This window comes from Homo sapiens, chromosome 12 (assembly GCF_000001405.40).
Source record: "Homo sapiens chromosome 12, GRCh38.p14 Primary Assembly".
NCBI lineage: Eukaryota > Metazoa > Chordata > Mammalia > Primates > Hominidae > Homo > Homo sapiens.
The window spans coordinates 116,082,719-116,100,323 of NC_000012.12; the positions used below are offsets into that span (position 1 = coordinate 116,082,719).

The 17,605-nt window shown below is 36.3% G+C and overlaps 1 protein-coding gene across 8 annotated transcripts in view; it reads right to left on the reverse strand.

Annotated features, from left to right (window-relative positions):
• The window catches only part of MED13L (mediator complex subunit 13L), a 319,118-nt gene that overhangs the window by 124,143 nt on the left and 177,370 nt on the right, over positions 1-17,605 (reverse strand). For all 8 annotated transcript variants that reach the window (XM_047428608.1, XM_017019090.2, NM_015335.5 and 5 more), the window contains one exon: positions 13,951-14,034. In XM_047428608.1, the coding sequence (XP_047284564.1) occupies positions 13,951-14,027 (77 nt within the window). In that variant the 5' untranslated portion in view covers positions 14,028-14,034. The remainder of the gene's footprint in view (positions 1-13,950; positions 14,035-17,605) is intronic.

Sequence of the window (17,605 nt, forward strand, 5' to 3'; positions counted from 1 at the left end):
GAAATATTGAAAATGGACTACCACACTTGTAGTGGGTCCTAATAGTCAACAGGCCTCTTTACAACTACATATGAATATAAGACCAAAGTCAAACCTCTGAAAACATTTGATCTAAGGGAGGGAATGTTATGGGAGTTCCAGCATCTGCTTTTAATGAATGATTTATAGAACAAAGGACCTGAATACATGTAAACAACATCAAATGATTTGAAAGAGGAATAATAAAATGTTACACACTACTATCCCTAAATTAGGATCATTTAATTTTGACAAGTTGATAGGTTTGATTCAGAAAACTGCATAAGGTACTATGAGAACCAAGAAAAATTTATGAAACAGGCTTTCAAAGATTTATCTAGTCATTCATTCAGTCATTTACATTTATTATCTCATTTAATCTTGTGCAGGCCAGGCGTGGTGGCTCATACCTGTAATCCCAGCACTTTGGGAGGCCAAGTTGGGTAGATCACTTGAGGCCAGGAGTTCGAGACCAGCCTGGCCATCTGGCGAAACTGTCTCTACTAAAAATACAAAAATTAGCTAGGCATGGTGGTACATGCCTATAATCCCAGCTACTCAGGAGGCTGAGGCATGAGGATCACTTGAACCCGGCATGGAGGCTGCAGTGAGTCAAAATCGCGTCACTGCACTTCAGCCTGGAAGACAGAGCGAGACTGTCTCGAGGGAAAAAAAAAAAAAAAAAAAAAAACACCTGCGCAACAAAGTGGACATCATCCCTACTCAGGGTTTAGAAACGAAAAGCACAGAAGCAGAAACATAGCATATGGTGAGTAGACCAGTTTGATTATGCACACTAAGAGTGTAATTAAGAATGGGAGTTATAATAAAGTCTGAAACTTCTGTCATTTATTTTCAGAGGAGCAGGCTACTGGTTGGCAAATTCAGATCCATCAGGAAAACTCGTAATAATGCATATGTTCATCACTTCCTGAAAACGCTGCACGTACAAAAAGTCATAATTCTTGGGCTAAAAATTTAGAATTCTGAGCATTTATCATGTGGGTCAGGAAAACTGGCCCCTGTTCCTCTGCCTCCCTTCACCTGGCATCACCCTAGCCTCAGTTACAATTTGGTCCCTCAGTACCTTCAACTGATTCTGAAAATGCCTGACGTGTTCAAAGGAGTTACTCCTGCATTCCTCCTTAGTTAAAGGAGATCAAAGGAGATCAAATATACAGGATGCCAATGTCTCAAATGAAGACTACACAATGATGTAGCCAGAAGAATTAAGAGAGCTCTGAAACATGTAATGCTTGAATTTTATAGCAAGTCAAAGCACAAATACAGAACTCTTGGTTCTGCATCATCTATAGAGCATACCTTGTATTGTACTTCAAACACTGAGCCATGTTCAAACTTACCAGTGTAATATTCCTCAAAGGAAGAATCCTCTAGTTTGAAATGTACTTAATGATTTCATCAATTTTTACTGGGTATTTTTAGCACCACGTGTTTCTAAGGGATGGGGAAAAGGGTGAGCCTTTCCACTCTTAAAGTGTCCTTTGGTAACTTACCTTTTTGAACCTACAAAACATGCTTGAAATGATCAAGGAATAATGCACGACAGTACATATTCATTCTACTACCTGAGCATACTCGTGTTCAAGTCAGTAGTATATGCTCTCAGAGAAGGGGTAAATGGAGGGCTGCAGGTAAAGTTGCAAACGTAAAAGTATATACAATCCCAATTTTTCTATTTTCACATATTGTTAAGAGAGATCATAATGTCTTGTTTCTTTCACTGAAGAATTCCAGTTGAGTGTGATATTTCAATCGTGAAATTAAAGCCCAGAAATATTATTTATTCAAGAACACAACAAATCATTAGCAGAAAAAAGTTATTTGAAAGAGGTGAACTATTTTCTGATATAAAGCTTAAATTCTAAAATACAAAAATTAGCCGGGCGTGGTGGCATGCACCTGTAATCCCAGCTACTCAGGAGGCTGAAGCAGGACAATTGCTTGAACCCAAGAGGCGGAGGTTGCAGTGAGCCACCAGTCTCCAGCCTGGGTGACAGAGCAGGACCCTGTCGCCAAAAAAAAAAAAAAAGAAGTAGAAATGAAGGTGTGGAGATGACATGCTACACTGAAACTGATGTTTTAAATCACAGAGACAAATCCCAAAATTTACCAGCCAACAGCCCAATTCCCTTTTAGTGATAAGTACCTCCTATATATGTAGTCATTTTTTTAAAATCTCAGTTAACATGGACATACTTTTAGCCAACTGTTTTCAATTATATATACTGCGATGTCCGTTTATTTTTCTACATTCTCAATAACAGTTAACACTAAAGAAACAATACTACTCAATTTCAAGAGTACATAATTATCCCTGAAATGTTGCCTAACAATGTTCCCTCTAGGGTCCTCTGTGTGCAAATTCCTACTTTATATATGAAGCACGTTTAAGATCTCAAAATGTGTTGAGGCTATTTCTACTACAAGAATTGCAATTCACAATCCAGCATGACAGGGCACAAAGTCCAACAGTACTGTAGGCTTTCTATTAAAAAATACTCATAGTAAAATAAGGGTCACAAACAGCCCAATTGCTCAAACTTGAACAAACCACTCAATAATGAATAACACTGATAAATAACCATACAAAACCAATAATTATAAGAATCAAAGATCTCAACCCAATTAGAAAATAGTTTAAAAGATCATCTTTTAACATCAAGATAAGAATGGTGAAGAGACTATTTCTATTTTAATGACATAACCCAATTTTTGTTTTATGTTAGATTACTTTTCAAACCTCATTTACCATTTTGATCCTAAAGCATATGAAATAGATTTACAAAGGAAAAGTATGTCCTATTCAGTTTAATCCAACCTTTTGTGCTGGGAATTATAGATCCTGAGTAGAAAAAAAGGTAAAATTATGATGTACACTGGAAACTAAAATAAATGATTTTATATTAAAGATTCAATTTAGGAGTAATGTAGGAATGGGGAAAGGAGAAAGACTAAATTCTCATCTTCTAAATTCAAGAGAAGATTAAAATCACTCACACACACACACACACACACACACACACACACACGACATTAAGAACAGCAGAATAAACATGTTATTGATAAATTTAGAGGTAAAATGCCAGAAGAAACAGAAATCTTACTTCAGGGGAGCAACTCAAAGAAGAGAGATGGAATTTAACTTGAATTGCCAGGGAAGACAGAGTGGGTGGGAGAGAAAGAATATGAACAATGAGAAAATGAGTTTAGACTATGCTAGAACTGTGAAGGACAACTCTGGCTGGATAAAATGGCTTCTGCTGGGGAGCAGAAATGCTAGACAACGCTTGGGCGATCCCTACACAATTGACACCACATTATGTTCTTCTATTGGAGAGTGCTTCACCAAAAGTAGTCTAACCAAAGTATATACGAGGGCAGAGTGATTTGAAACAAAAGAAACTACAAGTCAAGAGACATAGGCAGAAGACAACAAAAACAGACCTAACATTCTATCAAGGAGGCAGCTCCACAGTTTCCGTAAAATGTAGTATTTTAATTTAGCAGTTTTCCACGATAATTCTTTTTTTTTTTTTTTTGAGACAAGAGTCTCATTCTTGTTGCCCAGGCTTGAATGCAACAGTGGGATCTCAGCTCACTGCAACCTCCGCCTCCCGGGTTCAAGCGATTCTCCTGCCTCAGCTCCTGACTAGCTGGGATTACAGACTTGCACCACCACGCCCAGCTAATTTTGTATTTTTAGTAGAGACGGAGTTTCTCCATGTTGGTCAGGCTGGTCTCAAACTCCCGACCTCAAGTGATCTGCCTGTCTCGGCCTCCCAAAGTGCTAGGATTACAGGCGTGAGCTACTGTGCCCGCCCCATGATATTCTTTAACCATAAATATCAAGCTATTATACTTCAATCTTATACAACTGTTAATAAAATCCTAAATGAAGCATGCAAGCCACACTTAACAGGTTCTCAGAGACAGATCTAATAATTTCTACGAACCATACTTAAAAGCTTTATTTTTATAACATCATTTAACACTCCACAACAAATAGTCATATTGTTATAATATACATTATGCATTTTCAAAATTTTTTCCTTTGACTCCATAAAAGGATAGCAACAGAACCACAATGCTAGTAAACACCATATTTTCAAATTCATACCAAAATCATGGTGATTTCAAACATTTGGTAAGACTACTTCTTTAAAATTAGAAAACAGCTGATGTCATTATTTTAGGGGTAAAATCAGTATACGATATGACATTTCTTATATTGCCATTATGTAGAAAGATTTATAGTAGAAACACCTACCTTATTTAATGCAAATTGTGTATATAAAAACTGATTCACAAATATTTGATTGGCAAGCTTTCTCTAGTACAAGAAATTACCAACATCATAAAAAATTCTCCTTATTTTTTTCTAAATATTACTACCACCAGTTTCACTACTAATAGCAAACAGCTACCATTACACAATAACCAGATGTTAGGTTCTGTATTAGCTACTTTATTTATGCTATCTTATTCAATACCATAAAATTCATCACAAAAAAGGCAAGCTTAAGTGAGTAATTTCAAGCTTAATAGAATTTATGTAATCTTTTTCTTAACATTTTAAATTGTTTCCTTAAACTAATGAGGAAAAAAATGTTAGAAAAAAAAGTGTAAAGTCAACCAAAAGCAAAAATATGAAACTGTATTCTTAACCATCTTTCCAGAAATGAATATTCTTGTCGAAAGAGAAATGTTCTGAAATCTAACTCTAATCTACAATGCTTTCCCCCTGCTGCCAAGTTGCTACACAGATGCCACAGTCAGAAAATTTTACCAAGTGTGATCACACTTTTCAAAGAAAGGACCCCATTTACTAACAGCACACTACGAATCAAACAGGCAGCCATCCCTCAATCGCCTCCATTCCCCTTACAATCCTATCATCTGCCTTTCAGCCTTGTTTGGTCACCTCCCAGACCTTCCTTCCTCTTACTGGTCTGTCTCATTTCTCATCATCCTACCTCATTCTGCAAAAAAAAGTTCATAAGGGCTGTTAAGAAACATTTGTATAGAGCACTAAAAGTGCATCAGGAAAAGGTTTTATATAAATGTTAACTCCAAATATATAATAAAGATCTTTTATGTCTATACATTTTTTAAAAGATGGTACCCTCCTTGACAAAGGATGGTATGCAACGTCAAGTTTTACATCCTAAAATACGTATCAGGTTCCCCATCCAGTAGTACAAAGTAGTTCCTTCCACTCCAACATGACACTCCCTTTAAATAACAACTATAAATTATGAAGAAGATATTAAAATCTGCAAAAACCTGAGTTACCAAATGCAGGAAGATCCTGGGGGAGGGGAAAGAGTTTACCACCAGAAGGAGGAAATGGCACTGAATCAATCATCCTCATTCTCATCACAGTTGTCCACCTACCCCTCCACCCCCCTTTTTAAACAGTTTGTAGCATAGGGCAGACTGAACCACAACAGCTAAAACTAACAGAAACCCGACCTTGGTTCTTAGTGGCAAAGAACCAGAGGACTGAGTTAAAGAGACCACAGCTGCTGAAAATGAGAATAGAAATTCTGGAAAGAAGAGAATCAAAGACACAAACTCTGCCCAAATCTCTGGCCAATTCCTACACTATGTGCATGGTGCAGGCTCTCAACAGCCCTCGGAAGGCTAAAACAGTGGTTTTCAACCAGGGGTGACTTGCCCTCCCAAGGAAAATCTGGCACTATCTGGAGACATTTTGGGTTGTCACGACTGAGGGAGGAGGGTGTGACTGGCATCAGGTAGGGAGAGATCAGGGATGCTGCTGAAAATCCTACAATGCACAGGACAGCTCTCACAATTATCCAGCCCAAGAATCAACAGTGCCAAGGCTGAGAAACCCTAGGATAAAAGAAGTAAAGAAATTTCAGCTTCTGCCCACCACAAAAGAGACAATAGTTTGGAATCTGAATTCAGCCAAAGTTAACCCCTTGCTTAAAAAAGAAAGAAAAGAAAAGAGGAGAGGGGAGGGGAGGGGAGGGGAGACCAAAATTCAGCCAAAATTAACTCCTTGCTTAAAAAAGAAAAAAAAAAGGAGAAAAGAAAAGGCCAAATCAACAACACGTTCAAAGATAACAGAATCCAGTCTCCACACTATATCATTGTTCAGAATATAATTCAAAATTATTCAACATATGAAAAAACAAGAAAAATCTAACCCATATTCAAGAGAAAACACAACCAATGGAGAAAAATCCAGATTTTTTTTAGTAGCAAAAATCTGTAAGCAATTATTGTAAGCAGCTTAAGGACATAAAGGAAAATGTGCTCACAATGAATAAACAAATACAAAATGACAGCTGAGAAATGGAAATAAAAAAGGTCCAATGGAAATTATGGAACTGAAAATGACATTATCGGAAATAAAATATACACTTTCCAGTTATTTAAATCTTCTTTTAAAATCTGCCTTCTTTTATGTCCACACCATAGTAGTGTTCACTAAATTCTTTTCTATAAAGATGGGATCTCACTGTGTTGCCCAGGCTGGACTTGAACTCCTGAACTCCTGGGCTCAAGCAATCCTCCTGCCTCAGTCTCTCAACTAGCTAGGACTATATGCATATGCCACAGCACCCGGCGATTTTCACTAAGTCTTGACTATAATAATATAAACCAGAAACTAAATGGAAATGAAAAGGATGATATCATCTAAACATTTGATATTATTAAATCAATGGGTTCAGTCTGAAAACATACCATAAGTATTACAGTATCCTTTTAGGATTAGTAATAGAGGTGGCAGAAATATATGGTAGACTATAACAGGAATTCATAAGTAATAATCTCAAGAGTCTTAAATTTTTAAGCCACAATGGAAAATTAATTTATACTTAGTACAGCTGAAATTTTCCAAATTAAAATTAAGACAACATTCCCCTCTCGCCTACACAGATGAACTGTTTTCTCATTTTGTAAATAAATACAAAATAAATGTGGAAATGAAAAAATATAGTAATAGCATAAAAACAGGAGCAGTCATTTCCCTCAGACAAGTCTGTTTTTAACTTGCCATAAAATTCCCCCCATGTTACTGAGATGCCATGAAAAAAGAATGGAAACAACCTTCCAGGCATATTCATTTTTACACTTTCTCTAAATTCTAAGATACTTCAGCAAAGTATGCCAAATTTAGCTACATTTACAAAGCAGAGGATAAGACATTCCTTTTTAAATGTAGTCAACTTCTAGAGTAATCCATTTCATTAATCTATGAGAATGATCTAGTTGATATACTGCAATATCATTCTACGGTACTTAGGCTCAGTCTATTATTTGGTCAGAAAAACATACCATGAACAACATCCTAAATGAGGCTGAGATATGAGTAAACTGAACAGTACTTCCCTCATGCTACCAAAAGGTTAAACTTTGAACCTTTATTCATTCATGCTCTGAAGCTTCAACTGACTTTGTTTCCAACAGGGAAAGTGGCTTTTGGCTAAGACACCTTAAGCAAAGGTGAATAGGTGGTCACCTCTGTAATAAAAAACTGAAATTAACACCTCAACTCCCATTTGGGACCTACAATTTCTCCTTCCATTTCTTGATCTGATTATGAGTATCGTTACTCAAGTTAACATAATCCTTCCCTCTCTACAAACATGTTCTTTTAAAATTTTCCAACTCTTGGGAAGAATGATATCAAATCTCTTGCAGTGGTGAATACAAGAGTTACTTTCTGCTTACAGCAGAACTAAATACAATGAAGGTAACATGCTCTGAGTGGTAGAGAAAAAAAGAATAAAAGATATGGATATATACAGAGACATACATGGATAGGACATGTCCAGACTTCACCAACTTCACTTCACTTAGAGAATCAGAGAATCAGAAAGCTAAAAGACAACTTAGAAATAAATGCTAAAACTGAAGTCCCAAAGGATTCACTAGGTCCCACAAGGTCAAATAGTTAATGGAAGATCATCTACATTTCCGGATGAACGGTCTATTGAACAAGGAGAGATTTGTTTTGAGCTTAGTTTCAGTTATTTAGCAGGAATTTAAAAAGGAATTACAATAATGGTATTCTCTCAACCTCTCCAGTATATTAAAAAACAAGGTATAGGTCAGGCGCAGTGGCTGATGCCTGTAATCCCAGCACTTTGGGAGGCCAAGGCAGGTGGATCACGTGAGGTCAAGAGTTCGAGACTAGCCTGGCCAACATGGTGAAATCCCGTCTCTACTAAAAATACAAAATTAGCCAGGTGTTGGTGATGCATGCCTGTGATCCCAGCTACTTGGGAGGCTGAGGCAGGAGAATTGCTTGAACCTGGAGGACATTGCAGTGAGCTGACATCGCACCTGTGCACTCCAGCCTGGGTGACAGAGCGGAACTCTGTCTCAAAAAAAAAAAAAAAAAAAAAGAATTAAAAAACAAGGTATATCTTTTACTATAAAAAAGAATTTAAAAAACAAGGTATCTCTTTTACTATAAGGTATTTTCAATCCTTCTTGAAAATAGCACATATTTAAATATATTTTACTTTAAAGTGTAAAAATCAATAATTATTGTTGACATATACTGTTTAGACCACTAATAGCACAAATGAAAAATAAAAACTAACAGTCATAACTTCTTTTAAGTTATTAAGAAAAAAAGGAAAAACTAGAAGAGTTGGATAGAAAGCAAATACTGTATTTAACTATCATCACCTCTGGCTGAAGTGGTCTTTCAATTTAACATTCCCCTATATATGTTTATGAAACTACAGAGCAAAGTACCTGGTACACGAAAGATACTTTTTAAAATTATAGCTACCACTATTAAGCTTTATCACAAGCCCTTATTAAGTGTTTGTCTGCTCCCTTCCTGGAATCAACAGTTTTGTGTTTTGCAGCTACTTGTAAAAACTACTGCAAAAGCTCTACATTCAGTATCTTCACTTCAACTCCCATTTATAATGCAAGCTACTGCAATCTGAATTTCACCACTTGAAACTGCCAATGTTATAGTCACCATGACTACATAATTGCCAAATCTAATAGTCTTTATAGTACATGTTTTACATGCCTCTATGGCAGACACAGCTGATCAATCTTGAAACTTTAAAATTCCATGGTTCTGGTAACACCAGTCTCTCTTGGTTCTCATTTCCAGTTGACTCTTCAGTCTCCTTTATGTATTCTTGTTTCTGTACCCATTCTACAAATGTTGATGATCCCCAAGACTCTAACTCACTTTTCACACAATCCCCAAATATATTCAAATGGCAGAATACTGTAACTCCCTCAGATAGACTCTCAGAAAATGAGTAAATGTTTTATAGAGCTACCAAAAAAAAGCTGTAAAACTATTATGCATGATTATGTAAGTCCAAATTGTCCCATTAATATTTGTCTATGGACTTCCCATCAGCAAGCCCTTATTAACAGATAGGCACCACATGTGCAAAGTAAATTTATGAGTAAAACAGAAAAAATCATAGATAGCTACTGATCTCATTTTTCTGGACACTAAAAAGAGGCTTGCTTTACCGTTCACACTTGAAGTGTCTGCTCACCTTCTAGACTAGGGATCCCTTCTCCGCCTTCTTATCTGGGCATCTCTAAAAGCTAAATAACACAGATGACTGGGCTATAACAGAGTCTGGGGAAAAAGAGGAGGATGGAGAGAAGGCGTACCACTCAAGAACAGGGCAGGTTTGCCCATGAGTCAGTGATAGCTAATTAATTCAGAAAATGGAATAGCAGGTTGTTATCTTTGAGGAGATAAAGGGGAGGGGAGGATGAAATAAGGAAAGGAAGGGAAAGTTTCAAAATACTAAATATGGTTCTCCTACATCAAAACATTTCTGGTATGAGTTAATAATGTATTGTTACACAAAATACACGCTTTGCTATTAAACCAAAAAACGTATTTACATTTCTTAAATATGTATGTTAGGTAATCTAAGAAAATAAAAAAGAAGTTTTAAAAAGTCTGAAGTTAAGAGGAGAGAAGACAAAAACGATAGTTAAAGTAATATACTTTCAGTGTGTATGGGTATATGTGTGGTGGGGGGGGTGTGTGCACATGTGCTATCAGCACATACAAAAGTAATTAGAATATCTGAAAACATGTGATGCTCTCTGGAGTATCACCCAAGAACAGAGTAGATTTGCCCAAGAGTCAGTGACAGCAAATTAACCCAGAAAATGAATTAGCAAGTTACTATTTTTGTTAACTTAGCTTCTGTATACCTGATACCAGAAAAGATCAAAGGCCCACTGTTATTGAGGGCAATAAACTGTTTCCTAAAAATGACATTCAAAGACTAAAGTGTATAGATTTCAAATTCTCCTGTAATAAAATGTGGATTGAGATTAAATTAGAAAACAAATGCCTTCCCAAGAGAGAGAACCTGCATGATTGGAATAATTTCCAAATGATTTTCACCGGTTTGTTTTAAAACATATTCTGAATGCAAAAGCTTTTTTTCAAGTTCAACCTAGACCTTAGAAAACAGAAATTTTGTATGTTTGATTTTAGTTGTCACCACTCAAGGGCAAACCCAAAGTTGTATTTTCTACTTATTCTTTTCCCAAGGATATGAATAATAAAAGATGTCAATATAGAGAAAAAATTATATTGAATGAATTTCTATGTTTCTAAAACTACCTAATCAAATACATATTTTTAATATATAATATGCAAATAATCTACTTTAGAATTCTCCTGAACATCAACTCATATCAAATATTAAGAACCCTTTTAGGAGTCCATTAGTAAATGAAATCATAGCACAAGAACTTTAAAGGAGTACAGAAAGAAATTATAGCACAAAAAATCATATGCTATTATTCTAACAGGGAGAACTCATTCATCAGTATTTTTTCACCATGATTAGAATATCTAAAATATGCAGTATGAGAAATTAGTAATACTAATAATCAGTAATGCTAGTAATCCTAGCATATACTATCTATATGCTAAGATTATAGATATTATATATAGATACTATATGCTAGTATTACACTATACTTAGAAATAAGAGCTTTTCTAAAACATAAATTTGTACATTTAATTTGTTTAGCACTGGGCAACAGGTTTTCCTCTCCATTAGCCACTAAATGGATCTGTACCAATGTACCAAAAAAGACACAACTAAACTTAAGAAAAATTAATTTAATTCATTTCTCTCTCTCAACTAAATTATAAACTGCCACATAAATTATCTAATTTAATCTTCACTATAACCCTCTAAGACATTATGATTTTCAACTCAATAATAATAAAAATTCAGCTGAGATAAACTTTGTCCAAAATCTAACTTGCAAGTGGAAGAATAAGATGTGAACCCAATTCTCTTCTAATGCTAAATGCTCTCCTTCACAGCATGACTGTCCATTTAAAACTGTCCAACTCAGGCATGACTACTGAGATCCTATTTCAACATCTACCAAGAGGCTCTATTTTCCACTCAGAGAATAAAAGGAGGAAAAGTCATCATACCTAATAAAGTTTTATTAAAGCAAACGCCAATTTTTAAATTCATCTTTGGTTTAAATGTTTTCTAATTGTTAAGCTTTTCTGAAATACTGTTTCAAAATAATTTACATTTCTGCACTGAAGGAAAACAAAGTCCCATATTCAATCATGAACATAAAGTCTAAAATCCATTCAATTACAGTGCTCATATATCAGCAGCCTCCCATTTATATTGAATCAAATTCCCAAATACATTACATGCATTATTTACATCAGGCTTGCTAAAGTTATGAAGATTTTTGGAGCCAAAATGAGTGTAAAGATATACAAACTCTATATAAAATAGGCTGATAATGATAGTTATTTTTTACTATTAACATACTAATTGCTACTCCTTCAATCCCTACTTTTTATCTACATTTCCTCTTCATCCCCAAGTGGCTGTCAAATCATCCTGTATTTTATGGTCTAAAGCTATTTTATGACTAGCTCATTTAACTCACCAGTGACCAGTGACACAATCCATGTTAGGCATGGACAGATGTACTCAGAATGATAAAGAAGGTCACTGGGATAAAGCACTCCATATTTAAGTCTGCAGAGTCATAAACATAAAAGCCAAATTTAAACCACTCAGAAGATTTAAATTTAAGTCCTCTGTAAATTTAAGGAGAATGCTAAGATTAAAAGTAAAAACCAAAGGCCAGGCACAGGGGCTCACACCTGTAATCCCAGAACTTTGGGAGGCCAAGGTAGGTGGACTGCTTTGAGCTCAGGAGTTCAAGACCAGCCATGGCAAAACCCTGTCTTTACAAAAAATTTAAAAATGAGCTGGGTGTGGTGGTGTGTGCCTACAGTCCCAGCTACTTGGGAGGCTGAAGTGGGAGGATCGCTTGAACCCGGGAGGCAGAGGTTGCAGTGAGCCGAGATCACGCCACTGGCACTCCTGCCTGGATAACAAAGCAAGACCCTGTCTCAAAAACTTAAAGAAGTAAAAATAAATGAAAGTAAAAACTCATGAAACACATTAGTTAAGCCGAATCTATACATATATATTTATAAGGGGAAAAAAATCCCATTTCATCAAAGTATCTGTAAACAGAATCAAACTTTCACACACCCATACACATTGCTACTTTTTAAAGGATTTTGAATGTACTGAAAAGGAAAATGCTTCAAAGAAGTTTATGGTGATTTGACAAAGAAAACTTCCGGTCCCTAATTTATCTGATTTGAAAATTTTCATAAATTATGTTTGGTTAATGAGAAGATTCCACAACCATTTCATTAAAGATTTAAGGCAGACAGGTTGAGTGAGAAGACTACTAATTAAGTCTCTGCTAGAAACTAGGAAAGTTAAGCAAGCAAAGGTTCCTAATGAGGCAGGAGTTTCCAGCTGAAATTTTGCAACCAAAAGAAAAGACCTAATCTTAAAACTACTATGTAAGGCTTCAAGGGCTCTAATCTGCACCCAGTACCTGGGACACTTAGGGCAAGTACACTGATAATAAAACAAAATTTAAATTGAATACCATGCTCATCAATAATGAATATTCACCATCAACTTATGATTCCAACTACATGTGTGCTACATTCAGAGGTAGCCAAAGTAAATTTTAAATTCTGAGGGTTTTGTTTTCCGATTCTGGTGTGACTGATCTAAAATTCCATGTCTGTATAGTATCAAGGATTGCATTTAAACACACACATATGATGGCTAAAAGTTTAGGATTGTTTAGGAAAGTAATTCACAGTTCTGGTTTTACAATCGTCAAAGATGTGTTGATCTTCTTTAAGGGGCACCAATGAATTCCACAAAAATTGTCACCATTTCTTCACTGTTTTTAAACTTATTCCATACAACACTTTTAAAAAATCAATGATGAGGCCGGGCGCAATGGCTCGCACCTATAATCCCAGCAGTTTGAGAGGCCAAGGTGGGCAGATGGCTTGAGTTCAGGAGTTCGAGACCAGCCTGGGCAACACAGCAAAATCCCATCTCTACCAAAAATACAAAAAATTAGCCAGGTGTGGTGGCATACACCTGTGGTCCCAGCTACTTGGGAGGCTGAGTTGGGAGGATCACCTGAGCCTGGGAAGTCGAGGCTGAGGTGAGCCAAGATGGCACCACTGTACTCCAGCCTGGGTGACAGAGTGAGACACAGCCTCAAAAAAAAAAAAAAAAAAAAAAAAAAAGTCAAAGATGAGGAAGGAAAATGGAAAATAACAAAACAGATTATCTTAATTCCAAATAGTATAGTAATATGTGGCTTGAACATGAGTATATTGGCAATCACCTTTCTAATCAATCTTTAATATTGAATATAAATTTAATAATATAGTATTTAAGAACACTGTGATCCAGGATCTATTTGAGTATATCTAAACTACTAACATTATTAGGAAATAAATAAATCAATAAGCTGTTCACCCACCCACAAGGCCAAAGAAACCAAAAAGCCAAGAGCATTCTAAAGGCTCACCTTTTGTTGACTGGCTTTTCATCCTTTTCGTAGGGTCGGACAAACCATTTCCCAATCCTAACGAAGTTCTTATCCATTAGGCACCTAAAATAATTACATCAAGAATTACTTTTATAGTATCAGTAACAAATTAGTAAGTCGCTGAAGCAATACACCAGATGAGATATATCACCAAAAATAAAAACACCACCAATTAAACTATCAAAATGTTTTATCACTTAAAATTTTTACGTTATACTTTCCGAAAGAACTCTGGGACACTGGGCACAGATTCTTATGCCCACGTAAAAAAGAAAATGTAAACAAAAGTAAGCAAAATAAATTGATTGATGTATTTCTAAAACATCTTACGCTTCAGAATTACTTCAAATAAAATCACACTTCTGCATAATTTCAATTCTTGCATCATCAAGAATGTTAGGAATACAGCATTTCTTAAGAGAACTTCAGAGATATTCATCCAAGCCACTAACACCCATCTTTCAAGTTTTTTTTTTTTGAGACAGAGTCTCTGTTGCCTAGGCTGGAGGGCAGTGGTGCAATCTTGGCTCACTGCAGCCGCCACCCCCCAGGTTCAAGTGATTCTCCTGTCTCAATCTCCCAGGTAGCTGGGATTATGGGCGTGCACCACCATGTCTGGCTAATTTTTGTACTTTTAATAGAGACGGGGTCTCACCATGTTGGCCAGGCTGATCTCGAATTCCTGGCCTCAAGTGATCCACCCGCCTCAGCCTCCCAAAGTGCTGGGATTATAGGTGTGAGCCATCATGCCCAGCCCATCTTGCAAGTTTTAATGCTGGCTTTTTAAATTTTTATTTTTTATTTTTTGGCTTTGCATGTGATAGGCAATACTTTTTACGTGATGAGGATCTCAGTGACAAAAATACAGCACAGCTTTATCTTAGGTATTTTCTTTTTGTAGGCACAATAAAGGACTTGATTATGGCTTTGCAAGAAACAAGGAATTGCAATTGTGTCTTCAATAATGAATATCTGCTTTATTCATATACAAGCAGTGGCCCACTTCTGTTTCCATGCCACTTGTGTATGTCATTTTAATGTCAAATTACAAGGTATTCTAACATGTTTTTTTGAAGACATGTTAAATGGCAAGTGAACCCAACTCTTGTAACAACAATAACATACACAATTCAGCTGAACTGACAACAACACAGAGTTATGATCAAGTTCACTCATGTGCAGGCAAATGACAACTGTATCTTAACTGCCACCTGGCCAACTGCGGATGCCATGGATTGTAAGGAGTATAACTGATTTTAAAAACATAAAAATGAGGCTGGGTGGGTGGCTCATGCCGGTAATCCCAGCACTTTGGGAAGCCGAGGCGGGCAGATCACCTGAGGTCAGGAGTTCGAGACTAGCCTGGCTAACATGGTCAAACCCCGTTTCTACTAAAAATACAAAAAATTAGCTGGGCGTGGTGGTGCGCGCCTGTAATCCCAGCTACTCGGGAGGCTGAAGGAGGAGAATCACTTGAACCCGGGAGGCAGAGGTTGCAGTGATCTGAGATCACGCCATTGCACTCCAGCCTGGGCAACAAGAGCGAAACTCCATCTCAAAAAAAATAAATAAATATAAAAATAAAAACAAAAACATAAAAATGTGGGGGGGAAATGGGGAAAATGTGCACATTTGGAACTACTGAAATACAGTTATCTCTAACAGTATTCAGTGAAATTCTACATATTTTGTAAGAAAAGATGTCAGAACACTGAATGTAATTCTTCTATACAGGGTCCTACCTACCAGCAAAAGAGTTATATAGCAATTCTTTATTCCATATTGAGGCAATTCTGCACATGGCTTTTGCCTCTGTAATTTCCACACCATCAAAGAGGATGGAAACAATTCAAGCCCTCACCCAACTCATTACAGGTTAGATGGGTTAGTGAATGGTAATAGTTTCTGATGACCACAATGGAACTCCTTTTGGGCAGTCAATTCGGAGAACCAATGTACCAAAAAGTCACTGGGCTCCACTGGTTTTACTTAGAAAATAAATTTCTACTGCGATCTTCCATTGTTCACAATGAAGAAAATCATTTTCAGCGTAACCAAATCTCTTTTCCTAAGCTTATAAGTTTAAAAAAAAATGCTTTTTAGGGGTAAGGACTGTGACTCCATTAAATTTAGAAAATAGGAAATATGGCACACCCACCCAAGGAGGAAGTATTCAAGAAGCAAAACTGAAAAAGCATCTCCACAGTTTATTCACCAGCTAACAGACTTAATTATATTTTTATTAGAGTACATATAAACATATTTCCACTAGAACTCTAGTGTTTAATACCAAGTTTCTGCAATAATATTATCAATAACTGCTACCAGAATCACTATACCACCACTACCTGGTTGATTACCAGGCACAGTACCTTATTTAACTCTTGTAGCAGTAATAAAAGATGAGTGTTACAATGGCAATTTTTGTAGATGAAGAAGCTGAGGCACAGTGAGAATGTCATCCAGATAATAAACAGCAGAGCTGCACACAAGCCCAGGTATATCTGATCACAGAGCCAGGACATTTAATAATTAGCATATACCAACTCTCATGCTGTCACATTTTCCCAATTCTTTCCTTATTTCTCAAGTCCAAATGTACCTTGTAAATTACAGTCTATTTAACGTGATAATGCTTCTTTAGTCTCCAAAAGCCATTGTTACATTGAAGGTATATCTTAAAATTGATAATGCTGAGAATAAAAGCAATACGGCACGTAACAGGTATGGAGTCACGTCAAACACTGAACAGTCTTCCAGTAACACACATCCTCACTTAGTAAATACTGTTTTAAAAAATATTCATTTCCTCATGTCTTGAAGGTCAGAATTCAAAACAACCATTTATTCAGTAACAAATCATAAATTTACAGTGTACAGAAAGAAAAATCCAAGGCTACAGAGAGTATAATATGAAATAAAAGCAGATAAAATATCTGTGACTAAAGAGGACAATGTCTGAAAGTTTATTTGTTCTTCTATCAAGTAAAAGTCACAAATTCTATATGCTGGACTTCATTCCAGAAAAAACAAACAAGGTCTGGAGGGTAGAAGAGCAGTGCACAGTCAAGACCACTCAAGGACAAAAGCAAAAGGCAAAAAGGCTGATGAAAACTCTGAGAGTCCAACACTGCGTGAATAGAGCTCCTTGAGTTCCCACTGCAGGTCATATTTCTTCGTCAGGCAATGTCATCAAAAGGTTGTTACACACAAAACAGCCATGGAAAATACCGATGCTTCAAGCTGAAACCATGTGTTTCCAAATAAGAGTCACAAATAACTTAGATGATTTTTCATTTGCTAATGAGTTTCTCTGTGATCAATGATTTCCCACACAATGAAAGGAAAACATGACAGCAGAGAATTGCATGAAGTAGTGTTTTTACTCAGTTTTTTAAGTACTGGGACAGAGATGGGAGATACACACACAGTCCCTCCAAGATTAGGCAGTACAGAAGTATTTCCACATGGTTATAGGAGGAAATGAGAGAGAAGGTGTGCCTTTTCTAAGGAAGACCTAATTGATACAAGGGAATATGCTGACTCAACAGTAGCCTATATAGAGGCACAAAGTCCTTGGTTCTCAAACGTTTTTGGGTCATGGATCTATAGCTTTAAAAAAAAATTGGCTGGG